Here is a 17,347-nt window from a genome sequence, read left to right as displayed (position 1 = left end):
CACTACAAAGACATCGCTTAACTGTAGCTGTCTTATAATTCAAGCTCAAGAATGGTTGAGTCATTATGGAAAAGTCATGTGCCTATTAAGTCTTGGTTCTATTAATGTAACAGGTGTGCTAACCAACCATTCCCGGCCCAATCACCCTAATCGTGCTGACTATATGGAATGGATTCCCTTCGATAGTTACTACCCCCCAAGACATGGACCCAATGTCTTGACCCACTGGCTAGAAAACAATCTATGTTAACTGGAGACATTGTGGATTGGGGACCTAAAGGTCAACTATATGGAAAACATGAAAATCAGAAATCATGGCACAAACTTCGCTGGCATTGGTGGCAAGATTTTAATGCTTCTTCTTTATACCACACCGGGATCTAATCCCAGTCTGCCACCCAGATTGCTTGACATGGAGCAGGCTTTAGCCCGCCTCTTCCTCAGTGGCATTATCTAGGGAGGAAAGGACCAATCCAAGAGATGTTATGGAAGGCAGCACTCCCATTTATGAATGGCGGGATACTATCCAGTGATAGCAATAGTAAGCAACACAGTCTTAATGTTACATTTGTAAAGAATATCACCACTCAATTTATGGTTTGTCTTTTTAATCCTTATGTCTTTTTTGGCAACTAAGAAGGACCAGCTCCAGGTAAACAATATCCAATTGACCTGTAAATCTTGCCAGTTATGTCACTGCATTAATCATAGCACATTGCAAACACATAATGTCTCTACTTTGATAATTTTGGGTCGCATCCCTGGGCTATGGATTCCTGTTAATCTGTCCCAGCCTTGGGCTACCACACCTGCTTTGCACTTCATGAAACATCTTCTAACTCAACTTACTCATTGTGCCCATAGAGCCTTAGGCATGATAATTTTTGCTATTGTTTCCTTGGTCACATTAATAACTTCCGTTGTGATGTCCTCTGTAGCTTTGCATAGTTCTATTCAAACAACTCAGTACATGGAAAACTGGATGCGTATAGCCAACCAAGCATGGCCACTTCAGAATAAAATTAACACTGAGTTACAAACTGAAGTGGCATTGTTGAAATCCACGGCTCTACAGTTAGGAGAACAAGTACAAAGCTTGCAATTGCAACAGCAATTGCACCATCATTTTAATCACACTCATATTTGTGTAACCAACTTAGAATATAACCAAAGTGAGTATCCATGGGACCTTGTGAAAGCCCATTTGCAGGGAGCTTGCACATCCAACATCACCTTTGATATCGGTGAATTACAAAACAAAATTCTTGATTTAAATAAACAAACTCAAGAGTTTCAGCCTTCTTTAGAAGACTAGACCAAATTCCAGCAAGGCCTGGAGAGCCTCAACCCTTGGACCTGTCTAAAGCACCACATTAACATCTTATATGTAGTCCTTGGAATAATGTTGTTTTGTCTCTGTCTTCTGTTCATAGTCTGTAAAATTGGATGGACTGCCAATCAGAAAATGAGAGCTGCCCAGCCTGGCCTTACATTCTTTCAATTAATTCATAAACAGAAAGGGGGAAATGTAGAGAGCTGAATGCCCATGGGTTGTGACCAACTCAGCATTCCACTGAGGCTATATGATCAAACAGCAAACTGTTTATCATAAATGCAGAATGTGGGCAAACTCACTTCTGCTTCAGCCGCCAGAAGGTTCGCTGAGGGCAATCACTCCCTGGCGCCATGCTCTTTGAGGTTATCTACTGAGACATCTAGAGCCTACTGTTCAAAGAATGCAATCTTGTGAGCCTGCTGTGAATCAAGCTGCTGACCGACAACCACCCCCCCTTCTCCCTATCTCCTTTACCCAATAAATACAAAGGGCACTAAAGCTCAGGGCCCTTTTTCACTAGAAGCAAGGAGCCCCCTGACCCCTTCTTCCAAATATACTCTTTGGTCTTTATCTTTATTGCTGTGTTCGTCCCCTTTTGTTCAGTCCAACAGGGATTAGGTCCACGTCACCTTTTAAACAACCAGCTCTTGAGTGAACTCATTACCATGGGGGAGGACACCAAGCCATTCATGAGGGATCCACCCCCATGATCCTAACACCTCACACCTTGCCCCACCTCCAACACTGAAGATTACATTTTAACATGAGATTTTGAGGGGATAAATATCCGTACTATCAGAGAGGTTACTTCAAATGTTCAGGTGCATGACATTTTGATATAGCTTTAAAAATAAGCTATTAGGGCTGTGCCCAGTGTCTCATGCCTGTAATCCTAGCACTTGAGAGGCCAAGCCAGCAGGATGACTTGAGGCCAGGAGTTCGAGACCAGCCTGAGCAACATAGCAAGACTCCATCTCTCTCTCTCTCTCTCAAAAAAAAAAAAAAATATATATATATATGCATGGTAGTGCACGCCTATAATCCCAGCTACTCAGGAGGCTGAGGTGGGAGGATCACTTGAGCCCAGAAGTTCAAGACCAGCCTAAACAACACAGTGAGACCCCATCTCTACAAAAAATAAGCCATTAGACTCTCAGGTTATTATTTTTATTATTGCCAGGTATCCTCACCCTTACTCCTGGCATGGAAGATACAGTAGGAGTCATAGATGGCTGTAGGTCAGGTGCTGTCTCATAAGTAAGCCATATCGCCAGGCATCACATCTATGCTCTCACTCTAATATATGTATATTGTAACCCCTTCTATGTGCCAAGGCAGGAGGATCACTTCAAGCCAGGAGCTGAAGACCAGCCTGAGCTACATAGTGAAACCCTGACTCTCCAAAAATAATTAGCTGACTGTGGTGGCACATGCTTGTAGTACCAGCTATTTGGGAGGCTGAGGCAGAAGAATCACCTGAGCCTAGGAGGTAGAGGCTGCAGTGAGCTATGATCGCACCACTGCACTCCAGCCTGGACGACGGAGTTAGACCCTGTCATTAAAAAATATAAAAAATGAAAATATTGTTAAGAAGCTCTTGAGAAGGCTCCAAGTACAGTTCCTGGCATGTAGTGGGTGCACAGTTAATACTTCTTGGGGCCACAGGATTGGGCATCAGATTTACATTTCACTGAAACTTTCTATACCATCTGCATCTATTTCCTTTTGAAAAATGTAAATAAAATCAATACAAATGAACAAATGTCAGCTCTGTTTTATCCTTCACAGAATAAGCCAAATGAGAGTTGGAAGTGACTGCAGAGATTGTGAGGAAATGGAAGCTCAGAAGTTGTGTGGTTTGTCCAAGTTCCCCTGACCAGCTCTGGGACCCTGTTTTTTTCAGTTGAGGTGAAATTCACATAACATAGCATTTACTTTTTTTTTTTTTTTTTTGAGACAGAGTCTCTCTGTGTCACCCATGGAGTGCAGTGGCACAATCTTGGCTAACCGCAACCTCTGCCTCCCAGGTTCAAGCGATTCTCCTGTCTCAGCCTCCCAAGTAGCTGGGCACATGCTACCAAGCCCAGCCAATTTTTTGTATTTTTAGCAGAGATGGGTTTTCATCATGTTGGCCAGGCTGATCTCGAACTCCTGGCCTCAGGTAATCCACCCGCCTCAGTATCCCAAAATGCTGAGATTACAGGCATGAGCCATGGCACCACCTGGCCACTTTTTTTTTTTTTTTTTTTTGAGACAGTCTCGTTCTGTCACCCAGGCTGGAGTGCAGTGGTGCGATCTTAGCTCACTGCAACCTCTGCCTCCCAGGTTCAACCAATTCTCCTGCCTCAGCCTCCTGAGTAGCTGGGATTACAGGTGCCAGCCACCATGCCCAGCTAATTTTTGTATTTTGGGTAGAGATGGGGTTTCTTTTTTTTTTTTTGGAGACAGAGTCTCACTCTGTCACCCAGGATAGAGTGCAGTGGCGCGATCTCGGCTCACTGCAAGCTCCGCCTCCTGGGTTCACACCATTCTCCTGCCTTAGCCTCCCGATCAGCTGGGACTACAGGCGCCCACCACCACGCCTGGCTAATTTTTTGTATTTTTAGTAGAGACGGGGTTTCACCGTGTTAGCCAGGATGGTCTCGATCTCCTGACCTCGTGATCCACCCGCCTCAGCCTCCCAAAGTGCTGGGATTACAGGCGTGAGCCACCGCGCCCGGCCGAGATGGGATTTCACCATGTTGGCCAGGCTAGTCTCGAACTCTTGACCTCATGTGATCCGCCCACCTCGGCCTCCCAAAGTGCTGGGATTACGGGTGTGAGCCACTGCACCTGGCCTGAATTTGTTGTTTTTAAGTGAGCAATTTGGTTGCATTTAGTAAATTCACAATGTTGTACAACCACCACCTGTATCTGGTTCCAAAACATTTTCATCACCCCAAAAGGGCACCCCACCATTAGAAGTCACTCCCCCTTGGTCCCTTCCCAGGGCCCCCAGCAATCGACCTTCTCTCTATATAGATTTGCCTGTTCTGGATATTTCCTATAAGTGAAATCATACAGTCCTTCTCCTTTTGTGTCTGGCTTCTTTCACTCAGCATCATGTTTTCAAGGTTCATCCACATCGCAACATGCATCAGCACTTCCTTCCTTTTTATGGCTAAATAATATTCCACTGCATGGATATGTCACATTTTGTCTGTCCATTCATCTATTGACTGATATTTGGGTTGATTCCATCTCTGAGCTGTCGTGAATAGTGCTGCTGTGAACGTCCGTGTACAAGTTTTTGTTGGGAGTCTCTGTTTTCAATTCTTTCCAGTATGTGATCCTGGTCTTTGATTCCCTCATTACACTGCCTGCCAAATGTACAGCCAAATTGTATGCAACATCGTTGGAAGGACACCGGTGGGAGGGGCTGTCCTGTTAATTCTTGGAGAAATAGCGTCGTAGTTCAATGTATGTCCCACAAGGTGGCGCCCACACTTAGGAAGCTTCTCCGGGCTGAAGGAAAAGCTCTCTGTGCCCTCTGTGCAGCCACAAGTGGAGGCTCTACCCAGAAGCAGCGGCTTTACACCTAATACTCCTGTGACTGACCCACATCCGAATACCCAGGGAGATTAGGTGGTTCATCACCTGAGAGCTTTGTTTTTACTTCAGACAGCTGCTTAAGGTTCTAATGGGTTCCTGTCACTAAAAGTGCAAGGAGATTAATGTGTCTAGGTTGTCAAAATCAACTTGATAGACATTTCTTCATAGCTAATATTTCCTTTCTTATCTGTTGGTTAAAAGAGCCGATCCTCTCACAGTTACAGTGAGTACAGCAGGAAAGAAATATTACATTTCTCTACTTTTTCCAATTCACCCCTACCAAGGTTCTTTGCAGTATTCTTTTCTTGTTTTTTGTGTTTTTTTCAGAGATGGGGTCTCACTCTGGGCTGGAGTGAAGTGGTGCAATCACAGCTCACTGCAGCCTTGACCTCCTGGGCTCAAGTGATCCTCCCACATCAGCCTCCAGAGTAACTGGGACCACAGGCACACATCACCACGCTCAGCTAATTTTTGTATTTTTTTGTAGAGATGGGGTTTCACCATATTGGCCAGGCTGATCTTGAACTCGTGGGCTGAAGCAAATCACCCACCTCAGCTTCCCAAAATGCTGGGATTACAGGCATGAGCCACAGTGCCTGGCCTAAAATACTCTTAAATGATGCACCCTCCATACATAGAAAATCTTCCTAGAAGTAATATCATCCTATATAATGAGATGAGGGTTAAGCTGGTGATAAAGTTAGGCATAAGTAGGGCATCACCCTAAATCCCGAGTTAAGAGGAGTTTGCTGTAGTTTGGGGAGCATATTGAAAACACATTGTTGGCTGTGGGCGGCAAGCCATCCAGGTGCTGAGGCAAGAGACCGAGGGCACGAGCTGTTCCAGTATAATAAAATATATAAAACAACAAGAGTTATACTAGATCTAGATCACAGACATGATTATATATGAATATCATTAATCATTAGTTATCCGGAGGCCTAACCGTCTCCCTGTGGTGCTGTGCTTCAGTGGTCACGCTCCTAGTCTGCCTTCATGTTCCATCCTGTACACCTGGCTCTGCCTTTTAGATAACAGTAGCAAAATTAGTGAAAGTACTAAAAGTCTCTGATACGCAGAAATAATGGCGTAAGCTGTCTCTCTCTCTCCCTGTCTATCTCTGCCTTGGCTGCCAGGCAGGGAAGGGCCCCCTGTCCAGTGGACACGTGACCCACGTGACCTTACCTGTCATTGGAGATGACTCACACTCTTTACCCTGCCCCTTTTGCTTTGTATCCAATAAATAACAGTGCAGCCAGACATTCGGGGCCTCTACCGGTCTCCGCCTCTTGGTGGTAGTGGTCCCCCAAGCCCAGCTGTCTTTTCTTTTACCTCTTTGTCTTGTGTCTTTATTTCTACAATCTCTCGTCTCCGCACATGGGGAGAAAAACCCACCGACCCTGTGGGGCTGGTCCCTACAGTTGGCCGGGCACGGTGGCTCACACTTGTAATCCCAGTACTCTGGGAGGCAGAGGTGGGTGGATTACCTGAGGTCAGGCCTTCAACACCAGCCTGGCCAACATGGCAAAACCCCGTCTCTACTAAAAATACAAAAATTAGCCAGGCATGGTGGCGCACACCTGTAATCCCAGCTACTCAGGAGGCTGAGGCAGGAGAATTGCTCCAACCCAGGAGGCAGAGGTTGCAGTGAGCCAAGATCACGTCACTGCACTCCAGCCTGGGCGACAGACCGAGACTCAGTCTCAAAAAAAAAAGAAGAAAAAAAAAAAGAAAATACATTGTCAAGACTCAAATCACAGAGTGGTGTTTCACATGATGGTAGAGACTGCTGATTGCCCTCTTGAACCCAGCTTCCATTTCTTCTTTTTCTTATTTATTTATATTTTGAGACGGAGTTTCTCTCTTGTTGCCCAGGCTGGAGTACAATGGAGCAATCTTGGCTCACTGCAACCTCTGCCTCCCAGGTTCAAGCAATTCTCCTGCCTCAGCCTCCTGAGTAGCTGGGATTACAGGCATGAGCCACCATGCCCGGCTAGTTTTTTTTTTTTTTTTTGTATTTTCAGTAGAGATGGGGTTTCTCCCTGTTGGTCAGGCTGGTCTCGAACTCCCAACCTCAGGTGACCCACCCACCTTGGCCTCCCAAAGTGCTGGAATTATAGGCGTGAGCCACTGTGCCCGGCCTTTGCCAGGTATCTTGACTAGAGGAAGATAGTGTTCTGGGTGGGAGACTCAAGAGGTCTGGTTACTGAAGATACAGATCTCACTTAAAGTAAGTAAATTGACATCTGGTTTCCAAATCAATCTATTATGAAATTGGCCCATGTCACTTTCATTTGGCCTGATCAAGTTTTTACTGAGAACTGAATTGGGCACAGTGGCTCACACCTGTAATCCCAGCACCTTAGGAGGCTAAGGCGGGAGGATCACTTGAGTCCAGGAGTTTGAAAACAGCCTGGGCAACATAACAAAGTCCCATCTCCACAAAAAATACAAACATTAGCCCAGGAAGCTGAAGCAGGAGGATCATTTGAGCCCAGGAGGTCGAGGCAGCAGTGAGCTATGATCGTGCCACTGCACTCCAGCCTGGATGGCAGAGCAAGACCCTGTCTCAAAAAAAAAAAAAAAAAAAATTTGAGAACATTGGACATTCAGTATCTCTCCCCTCTCTTGGGCATCATGTTTAGGTTCTGTCTCTAGAGCACATCTCAGAGCCTGCTACAGGTAAACAGGCCAGAAGTTAAATGCATGAAACAAATTAAATGCATGAAACATTCAAGCACATTCTTATTGGTGTAATTAAAATAAAAAAGTAAATGCATGAAACAGAAGCTGTTTACCCACAGCAGAGGAGGGGCAGAAATCATATCCAGTGTGCCATATCATTACTGCCTGCCAGCATTTCCTTAGGCTATTTCATTTATTTACTTTTTTTGAGATGGAGTCTCGCTCTGACTCCCAGGCTGGAGTGCAGTGGCATGATCTCCACTCACTGCAACCTCCACCTCCCAGGTTCAACCAATTTTCCTGCCTCAGCCTCCCAAGTAGCTGGGATTACAGGTGCCAGCCACCATGACTGCCTAATTTGTGTATTTTTAGTGAGAGACAGGGTTTCACTACGTTGGCCAGGCTGGTCTCAAACTCCTGACCTCGAGTGATCCACCCGCCTCGGCTTCCCAAAGTGCTGGGATTACAGGCGTGAGCCACCATGCCCACCTTCCTTTGGTTATTGAGATGGACAAAGAGTTACCCAGTAAGTTAAGAGCAGCTAGTTTTTAATGAATCTTAGCCCAGAATACAAAGCAGGGTGTAGCAGTTGCCTTAATGGTGATATAATTGTAAACAATAGCTTTTTCTTCCCCTATAAACTCGAGTTATAGGAAGCGTTTCAGAGAGAGGATAACACATTTGAATCTATTTTTTAAAAATCATCCTGAAAGCTAGCAGTATTGTTGTCGTTTAAAAGGTTCCTCATATACTCTTACCCTCAGCCAACCCACCATGTTTATCAATTCAAATTCTAGAACTTTCTTGACCCAAGAGATTTTGTAGGAAAAATTTCTCTTTTCAGATATTCAGCACGCAAGGATCATTTTTCTTGGTTTTGTTGCTGATCTTGCTGAACTTTCCATCAATGGCTGAGGGAGGAAGCTTGCATGATTCTTATGAGTTCTTCTGAGGCACTTTGACTGTGACCTGTAAGGGGGACAGAGAAGCCGTTAGATCTTCCTGCTTCCCTGTGATCTGTAGGTCCCCTCAGCTAGGAGCTGACTAAGTGTGAGCAGAAAGGGCTTTTCTTTTTTTCTCCCCAGACTGGAGTACAGGGGTGCAATTACAGCTCACTACTGCCTTGACCTCCTGGCTCAAGCGATCCTCCCACCTCAGCCTCCCAAGTAGCTGGGACTACAGGCATGCACCATAACACCCAGCTAACTTTTTGTATTTTTATTAGAGATGGGGTGTCACTATGTTGCCCAGGCTTGTCTTGAACTCCTGGGCTCAAGCGTTCCGCCTGTCTGGGCCTCCCAAAGTGCTAAGATTACAGGCGTGAGCCATGGCACGTGGCCTGTAACTATGATTTTGATGAAGAGTTATAGGCCAATGATGTCAGAATTTCTATTTCAAATCTGGGTCTTGCCCCTGGAGCTCCAAGCCCATCTCCCTAGATGTGTTCTCCACATCACCTCTTGGGTTTGGACAGGTACCCCAAACACAACCCTAAAGAGAACCACAGTACTTCATTCAGTGTTCCCTATCACAGGACTGGCGTCACCACTCAACCCCTCCTTGGAAACCTGGGTGCCATCTTTGATTCCTAGTTTTGCTTTTCCTCTCTATATCCAGAGTCGCCAATCCTACTCCTGGCTTCCTGTCACATATACCCTCTTTTCTCCACCTGCACTGCACCACTCCAATCCAAACCACCATCTTTCTCCTTGGAGCAGTCTCCTGACAGCTCCCTCATCCCTCCTCATACTGGATGGTCCATTCTCCCTAGGGCAAGCAGAGTGAGGTTTCTTAAATTTTTTTTTTTGAGACGGAGTCTTACTCTGTTGCCCAGGCTGGAGTGCAGTGGCGCAATCTCGGCTCACTGCAACCTCTGCCTCCCAGGTTCAAGCAATTCTCCTGTCTCAGCCTCCCGAGTAGGTGGGACTACAGGCACCTGCAACCAAGCCTTGCTAATTTTTGTGTTTTTAGTAGAGAAGGGATTTCACCTTGTTGGTCAGGCTGGTCTCGAACTCCTGACCTCAGGTGATTCACCTGCCTCAGTGTCCCAAAGTGCTGGGATTACAGGCGTGAGCCACCGCGCCTGGCCGCTTTCTTAAATTTTTAAACAACTTTCTTGAGATATGATTTATGCACAATCAAGTGTAATTGCTTTTAGAATATTTTAAGTTGTGCAATCATCACCATACTCCAGTTTTAGAACATCTGCATCATCTCCAAAAGCAATCTTGCACCCATGAGCAGCCACTACCCATTCCCCATGCCCTAGATGACCAGTAATAAGTTTCTGTCTCTATAGATTAAGCAGAGCAATCTTTTAAAAATACAAATTGAGTGGGCCAGGCACAGTGGTTCACACCTGTAATCCCAGAACTTTGGGAGGCCGAGGCAGGCAGATTACTTGAGGCCAGGAGTTCGAGATCAGCCTGGCCAACAGGGTGAAACCTCATCTCTACAAATACAAAAAATTAGCCAGGTGTGGTGGCAGGCGCCTGTAATCCCAGCTAGTCAAGTGGCTGAGGCATGAGAATCGCTTGAGCCCGGGAGGCGGAGGTTGCAGTGAGCCAAGATCACAGCACTGCACTCCAGCCTGAGCAACAGAGCAAGACTCTGGCTCAGAAAAAAAAAAAAAAAAATTGAGCCACCTAATTCTTCTACTTAAAATGCTCCCATAGCTGAGATCAAACTCCATTATCAAAGACATCAAACCCCACATCATGGCCAACAAGGGCCTGTGCATTCTGGCCTTGCTCTCTCCCCACTAACCACTACATCTTCCACCACCAGCAACCTTCCTGCAGTTCCTGGAAGAGCCATATTTCTCGCCATCACAGCTTTTCCAGAAGCTATGCTCTTTGTTTAGTACGTTCTTCTCTTCCTCCCCTCACCATCTCTACTTCCACTCATCCTTCAGGTATATCAGCTTAGATACCACCCTGTCACGTGGCCATCCTGGACATCGCCTCCTTAACACTAGTCATGTGCCAAGATTTAAGACTCACCAACTGAAGTTGGACCTTTTATCCGATGTCATAACTCAAAGCCCAGCACAGGCTGTCCACCCACATGGCCACCTCCTGCTGTTGTGGACTCTGCTCGGGCAGTGGATGAAGTGTACCCACTGGGAAGTGGGTGGGGTATACAGTAAACAAGACTGGCTGTGAGCTGATCTTTGTCATAGCTTTATGGTGGGGATACAGAGGCTCATTCTACTGTTTTTTTTTTTCCGTTTTGTTTTGTTTTGTTTTTGAGACAGAGTCTCGCTCTGTCTCCCACGCTGGAGTGCAGTGGCACCATCTCGGCTCACTGCAAGCTCCGCCTCCCGAGTTCACACCATTCTCCTGCCTCAGCCTCCCAAGTAGCTGGGATTACAGGCACTCGCCACCACGCCTGGCTAATTTTTTGTATTTTTAGTAGAGATGGGGTTTCACCGTAGCCAGGATGGTCTGGATCTTCTGACCTTGTGATTCGCCCACCTCGGCCTCCCAAAGTGCTGGGATTACAGGCGTGAGCCACCATGCCCGGTCTGTTTGTTTGTTTTTTGAGACAGAGTCTTGCTCTGTTGCCCAGGCTGGAGTACAGTGGCGCGATCTCAGCTCACTGCAACCTCCACCTCCCGGGTTCAGGCAACTCTTGTCTCAGCCTCCCAAGCAGCTGGGACCACAGACACATGCCACCAGCCTGGCCAATTTTTGCATTTTTAGTAGAGATGGGGTTTCACCATGTTGACCAGGCTGGTCTCGAACTCCTGACCTCAAGTGATCTGCCCATCTCGGCCTCCCAAAATGCTGGGATTACAGGCATGAGCCACCACTCCTGGCCTCATTCTACCATTATACCTATTCTTTGCATAGATTGGAAAGTTTCCACACTAAACAAGTAAACACGTTTAGTTGATTCCAGTGAGCTATTCAGGAACACAGGTTGTGTCCTCGGCCTCTCCAGTCTCAGGCTTGGCACTGTGGCCCTGAATGAGTCCCGTTTGCCTTTTCTCACCTGCTCCACAGCTGGCAGGCTTGCCCTGAGCCTCCTCTTTTCCAATCCTGGAAAGGCTAGCTCAACCCATTTGCCTCTTCCTTAAACATCACTTGTGTTTATGTTTTCTGGTTAAACTATAATTAGTATTCACAGTAAATCATTTTCACTTCAGTGTATATTTCCCTGTTTGTTTGTTTTTTCTTTTTTTTTTTTTCCTGAGACGGAGTCTCGCTCTGTCGCCCAGGCTGGAGTGCAGTGGTGCGATCTTGGCTCACTGCAAGCTCCACCCACTGGGTTCACGCCATTCTTCCGCCTCAGCCTCCTGAGTAGCTGGGACTACAGGCACCTGCCACCACACCTAGCTAATTTTGTTTTTGTATTTTTAGTAGAGACGAGGTTTCACCATGTTAGCCAGGATGGTCTCGATCTCCTGACCTCGTGGTCTGCCCACCTCAACCTCCAAAAGTGCTAGGATTACAGGTGTGAGCCACTGCGCCCGGCCTGTTTTTTTTTTTTTTGAGTCTCACTCTGTCGCCAGGCTGGAGTGCAGTGGTGCAATCTTGGCTCACTGCAACCTCCACCTCCCGGGTTCAAGCAATTCTCCTGCCTCAGCCTCCCAAGTAGCTGGGACTACAGGCATGTGCCGCCACGCCCAGCTAATTTTTGTATTTTTAGTAGAGACAGGGTTTCACTATCTTGGCCAGGATGGTCTCGATCTCTTGACCTTGTGATCCACCCACCTCAGCCTCCAGAAGTGCTGGGATTATACGCGTGAGCCACCGCGCCCGGCCATTTTGTTTTTAATAAGATGGTATCTTGCTACATTGCCAAATTAATCGCTTATGAAATTGGCGAACATGACTCTTCAATTTGGCCTGTCCAAGTTTTTCGACTTACAAAACTGAGAGCCAGGCTGGGTGTGGTAGCTCATGCCTATAATCCCAGCACTTTGGGACCAAGGCAGGAGAATCACTTGAGCCCAGGAGATTGAGACCAGCCTGGGTAACATAGTGAGACCCCATCTCTACAAGAAATACAAAAATTAGTCAGGAATGGTGATGTGCACCTGTAGTCCCAGCTACTCGGGAGACTGAGATGCGAGGATCACTTCAGCCCAGGAGGTGGAGGCTGCAGTGAGCTGTGATGGCACCAGTACACTCCAGCCTGGTGATTCCAATCCTGGAAAGGCCTGCTCAACCCATTTTCCAGGCTAGCTTCAAACTTGTGGCTCAAGCGATCCTCCCACCTTGGCCTCCCGAGTAGCTGGGACTACAGGCATGCAACACCACGCTCCAGTTTTTCCTTTCTTTTTTTATATTTATAAGTAAATGTATCTGAGTATCTATCTATGTACATAAATTCCAAAAATTGGGCTTATATTGATGATATATTAGTTTGTATACTGCTTTTACTTTAAAGGCTAAGCATTTTTCATATCAAATATTCTACAAAAACATTTGTAACAGATACCTGTTACTCCTTGATTGGGGTGTTCCATAATTTATTGGGCATTAAGTTTACATCTGATTTTCCCCTCTTAGAGATAAAGCAGTGATGAATATTTATGGAAGGAACGCTTTCTTTGTATTTCTGATGGGTCCTTCAGGCTATATTCCAGTCATTGAAGTTGCAAATCAAAGGAGATGCATATGGTTATGGGCCTTGATATCTCATGCCTAATAGCTTATGTTTGTATTATTTATTTTTAAATATTTTTATTACTGTGGGAATTGCTCCATTCCAACCTAATAGCTAATTCTTTTTTCTTTTCTTTTTTTTTTTTTTTTGAGACGGAGTCTCGCTCTGTTGCCCAGGCTGGAGTGCAATGGCACAATCTCGACTCACTGCAACCTCCGCCTCCCGTGTTCAAGCGATTCTCCTGCCTCAGCCTCCTGAGTAGCTGGGATTACAGGCGCACGCCACCACACCTGGCTAATTTTTGTATTTTAGTAGAGACAAGGTTTCACCATGTTGGTCAGGCTGGTCTCAAACTCCTGACCTCATTCGTGATCCACCCACCTTGGCCTCCCAAAGTGCTGGGATTACAGGTGTGAGCCACCGTGCCCGGTGAAAAGCCACCGCGCCTGGTGAAAATCTGAAAAGATTCTTACTAGAAGCTTTTCCTCTCCGCTCCGCCCCCTGAAGTCTCTCCCTCTTCTCAGGCCTACAGGCCTTGGCGTATAACGAAGCCCAGCAAATGACCGCATAGGCCTGATGGGGGCACGTCCCTCAGTATTTCTCATGGGACAGAGCAGAGGCTGGGTCTTTACCCTCTCTTGTCACTTCTCAGGCTTAAAATGGGAAATTAGTAGGAAACACTGATGGCCTCAAGCATGAGGGAGAGGCCAAAAGGTGGCCCGCCCAGCAGACCCTAAATCCCTGGCAGGCCCTGATCCCCAGCAGGTCCTGAACTTCCAGCAGGCCCTGAGTCCCCGGCAGGTCCTGAACCTCTGGCAGGCCCCGAGCCCCCAACAGACCCCAATCCCCCAGCAGGCTCCGAGCCACCAGCAGACCCTCAAGCCCCAACAGGCCCTGAGCCCCCAGCAGGTCCCACACTCACAGTTTTCACTTCAGTGTATGCCTGCAGCCCGTACTCGCCCAACTCCCGGCCACTCCCCGACATCTTGTAGCCACCAAAGGGTGACTGGGCTCCAAACACATCATAGCAGTTGACCCTGTAATTTGAAACGAGATTGCAGAAATCACTCTTGGGGGTTATGGGTTACACTCCCAGGACCCCCTGTATTGCCCCAAAGTCTTTATTTTATTTTTAACTTAAAAAAAAATTTTTTTTTTTGAGATAGAATCTTTCTCTGTTGCCCAGGCTGGAGTTGCCATGGCATGATCTTGGCTCGTTGCAACCTCCACATCTGGGGTTCAAGAGATTCTCCTGCCTCAGCTTCCTGAGTAGCTGGACTACCAGCACGTGCAACCACGCCTGGCAATAAATTTTTTTTTAAGAGACAGGGTCTGATTATGTTACCCAGGCTGGTCTCCAACTCCTGGTCTTCAGTGATCCTCCTGCCTCAGCCTCCCAAGTAGTTAAGATAACAAGTATGTGCCACTATGCCTGGCTAATTTTTTTATCTTTTATTTTTTGTAGAGATGGGGTCTCACTATGTTGCCCAGGCTGGTCTCGAACTCCTGGCCTCAAGTAATTCTCCTGCCTCAGGCTCCCAAAGCACTGGGATTACTGGTATGAGCCACTGCACCTGGATGGCTTTCTTTTCTTTTCTTTCATTTTTTTTTTTTGCAATTTAAAAAAATTATTAAATTTTATTTGAATTTGAAATTTACCATTTATTTATTTATTTTTATTTATTATTATTATTTTTTGAGATTATTTTTTGAGATGGAGTTTCACTCTGTTGCCCAGGCTGGAGTGCAGTGGTGAGATCTCAGCTTACTGCAACCTCCGCCTCCCAGGTTCAAGCGAATCTCCAGCCTCCCGAGTAGCTGGGATTACAGGTGCATGCTACCATGCCCAGCTAATTTTTCTATTTTTAGTAGAGACAGGGTTTCACCATGTTGGTCAGGCTGGTCTCAAACTCTTGACTTCGTGATATGCCTGCCTTGGCCTCCCAAAATGCTGGGATTACAGGTGTGAGCCACCACGCTTGGCCTATTTTTAATTTTCTTTTTTTTTTTTTTTTTGAGACAGAGTCTCGCTCCGTCGCCCTGGCTGGAGTGCAGTGGTGCGATCTCGGCTCACCGCAAGCTCCGCCTCCCAGGTTCACGCCATTCTCCTGCCTCAGCCTCCCGAGTAGCTGGGACTACAGGTGCCCGCCACCACACCCGGCTAAATTTTTGTATTTTTAGTAGAAACGGGGTTTCACTGTGTTAGCCAGGATGGTCTTGATCTTCTGACCTCGTGATCCGCCCGCCTTGGCCTCCCAAAGTGCTGGGATTACAGGTGTGAACCACAGCGCCCTGCCCTTTTTCTTTTCTTTTTTTGAGACAGAGTCTCACTCTGTTGCCAAGCTGGAGTGCAGTGGTGCGATCTCGGCTCACTGCAACTTCTGCCTCTAAAGTTCAAGTGATTCTCCTGCCTCAGCCTCCTGAGTAGCTGGGATTACAGGTGCCCACCACTGCGCCCGGCTAATTTTTTTTTTTTTTTTTTTTGAGACAGAGTCTTGCTCTGTCACCCAGGCTGGAGTGCAATGGCACGATCTCAACTCACTGTAACCTCTGCCTCCCGGGTTCAAGCGATTCTCCTGCCTCATCCTCCCAAGTAGCTGGGATTACAGGTGCATGCCACCACACCCGTCTAATTTGTGTATTTTTAGTAGAAACAGGGTTTCACCATGTTGGTCAGGCTGGTCTTGAACTCCTGACATCATGTTCCACCTACTTCGGACTCCCAAAGTGCTGGGATTACAGGTGTGAACCACCACGGCCTTACAGGTGTGAGCCACCAGGCCCAGGCCTAATTTTTGTATTTTTAGTAGAGACGGGGTTTCACCACATTGGCCAAGATGGTCTCCATCTCCTGATCTCGTGATCCGTCTACCTTGGCCTCCCAAAGTGCTGGGATTACAGGGGTGAGCCACTGCACCCAGCCTAAAATTCACCATTTTAAAGTGTACAATCACTGGTTGACAGCATATTCACAGTGTTGTGTGACCATCACCACTGTCTAATTGCAGAACATTTCTATCACACTGAAAGAAGCCCTGTGCCCAGGAGGCAGGCACTCTCCATTCCTCCCTCCCCCAGCCCCTGGCAACCACTAACATACTTTCTATCTCTATGGATTCGCCTATTCTAGATATTTATAATACTGTAAATGGAATCACACAGCATGTGGCCTTTTGTGCCTGGGTTCTTTTTTTTTTTTTTTGGAGTCTCACTCTATCGCTCAGGCTGGAGCGCAGTGGCATGATCTCCACTCACTGCAATCTCCGCCTCCCAGGTTCAAGCGATTCTCCTGCCTCAGCCTCCCGAGTAGCTGGGACTACAGGCACCTGCCACCACAGCCAGCTAAGTTTTGTGTTTTTAGTAGAGATAAGGTTTCACCATGTTGGCCAGGCTGGTCTCAAACTCTTGACCTCAAGTGACCTACCCACCTCGGCTTCCCAAAGTGCTGGGATTACAGGCATGAGCCACCGCACCCAGACAGTCTGGGTTCTTTCACTCAATGTTATGTTCAAGATTAATCCATGCTATTGCATGCATGGCTACTGATATGGCTTGGCTTTGTCCCCACCCAAATCTCATCTTGAATTGTAGCTCCCACAATTCCCACGTGTTGTGGGAGGTAATTGAATCATGGGGCCAGGTCTTTCCCATGCTATTCTTGTGACAGTGAGTAAGTCTCACAAGATCTGATGGTTTTATAAAGGGGAGTTTCCCTGCACAAGTTCTCTTCTCTTGTCTGCCACCACGTGAGACATGCTTTTCACCTTTCACCATGATTGTGAGGCCTCCCCAGCCACGTGGAACTGTGTGAGTCCATTAAACCTCTTTCCTTTATAAATTACCCGGTCTCTGCAATGTCTTTACCAGCAGTGTGAGAACAGACTCATACAGCTACTTCATTCCTTTCTGTGGCTGAGCCACATTTCATTGCATGGACAGATCACATTCTGTATCCATTCATCTACAGACGGACATTTGGGTTGTGTTCACCTTTTGGCTGTTACAAATAATGCTGCTGTGAAGATTCATATACACGTTTTTATGTGGGAGCACGTTTTTCTTTCTCTTGGATAAATACCTAGGAGTGGAATTGCTGGGTCATATGGGGGCTTCATGTTT

The 17,347-nt window shown here is 46.7% G+C and overlaps 1 protein-coding gene across 2 annotated transcripts in view; it reads right to left on the bottom strand.

The window, feature by feature from the left end:
* ALDH2 (aldehyde dehydrogenase 2 family member) overlaps positions 592–17,347 on the bottom strand; it is a 50,600-nt gene continuing 33,844 nt past the window's right edge. For both annotated transcript variants that reach the window (NM_000690.4, NM_001204889.2), the window contains 2 exons: positions 14,151–14,265; positions 592–8,581 (listed from right to left, as the gene is read on the bottom strand). In NM_000690.4, the coding sequence (NP_000681.2) occupies positions 8,549–8,581; positions 14,151–14,265 (148 nt within the window). In that variant the 3' untranslated portion in view covers positions 592–8,548. The remainder of the gene's footprint in view (positions 8,582–14,150; positions 14,266–17,347) is intronic.

This window comes from Homo sapiens, chromosome 12 (genome assembly GCF_000001405.40).
Source record: "Homo sapiens chromosome 12, GRCh38.p14 Primary Assembly".
NCBI lineage: Eukaryota > Metazoa > Chordata > Mammalia > Primates > Hominidae > Homo > Homo sapiens.
This window is presented reverse-complemented; position numbering and strand designations above follow the sequence as displayed.